General features: G+C 49.6%; 1 annotated feature.

Moving 5' to 3' along the window:
- Window positions 383–883: an enhancer, noted in NCBI's record as "H3K27ac hESC enhancer chr2:180898515-180899015 (GRCh37/hg19 assembly coordinates)". NCBI's record gives its function as "activates a minimal SCP1, AML or CMV promoter by ChIP-STARR-seq in naive H9 embryonic stem cells {active_cell/tissue: H9 hESC(naive)}" and the evidence as "EXISTENCE:reporter gene assay evidence [ECO:0000049][PMID:30033119]".

Genomic DNA, 1202 nt, shown 5'->3' on the forward strand with positions numbered 1-1202 from the left:
TCAAACATGAAACCATCACAGCACCGGGCCTTACCCGAAACCCTTCACTTCGGTGTGGCAACTTCCACCAAGCCCTTGGCATGTCCAGAGATGTGGTCTGGGATTGGAGTAAAAAACCTTAGCAATTTATGTAATGTTCTATTCTACTGCGGCCAAGCTGGCACTCAAACCACAATATAAAATTCTTCTTATTTGTACTCCCCTTTCCACAGGCAGAGGAGCCTCTGTCACTCTGTGACTACCACCACCACTGGTCCATGGGAGATTTTGCCAGGCCAGTGCTGACATTTGCTTAAAGCTCAAGGGCTCTTCTGTCAGCTTGTGATGAATGCTGTGAGGCCTTGGACTCACCCTTCAGGGAAGTGGGCTCCCCTCTGGCCCAGGGCAGGTCCAGAAATGCTGTCTAAGAGCCAAGGCCTGGACTTAGCAACCCCAAGACCCAGATTGTTGCTCTACTTTACTGTGGCTGACCTGGTACTTAGGGTGCAAGACAAAGTCCCCTCTACTTTTCCCTCTGCTTTTCTCAAAAAGAAGTCTTTCACCATAGCCACCACAGCTGAGAATATATGGGTCTCCCCTGATTTTGTACATCTCAGAGCCCATGGCCCACAGTGCACTCCCTGGGTATCGCAGGTGGTTATTCAGGGCTTAAGGGCTATTTAGTCAGCAGGTGGCAAATCCTGCCACAACTGGTTCCTTCCTCTGAAAGCAGCAAGTTCCTGTTTGGCCCAGGGTATGTCTAGAAATATTTTCTGGTTGCTCAGTGCTGGAATGGAGGCCTCAAAACTCTGCCTGGTCCCCTGTCCTAGCTGGTGTCCAAGATGTAAGACAAAATCGTCTTTATTCTTCACTCTCCTCTCTTTAAGCAGAAGGAAGGAGTCACTTTTATTGCTATGAGCTGTACTGCCTGGGGTTGGGGGAGGGGTAGCATAAGCCCTCCTTTAGCCATGCCACCTGATACCTCCCTTGGTCATGTGCTACTCTCATTCACTGGCTCTAAGCCCAGCCTAACAGTAGGAGTTCCCTAAGAATTGCAGACATTGTGTCCTAGAATGCGCTTCAAGTTTATCTAGAACTCCAGAGCACTTTAGCCCATGGGGGAGGCATAATGGCAAAGTTTGCGAAGAAATTCAAGTTATGACTGCTGGGATGGGCAGTTTCCCTCTGGCTAGGGCTGGTCCCACTTCTCTTTTCATGTGGGG

The sequence above is a fragment of the Homo sapiens genome, chromosome 2, assembly GCF_000001405.40.
Source record: "Homo sapiens chromosome 2, GRCh38.p14 Primary Assembly".
Lineage (NCBI taxonomy): Eukaryota > Metazoa > Chordata > Mammalia > Primates > Hominidae > Homo > Homo sapiens.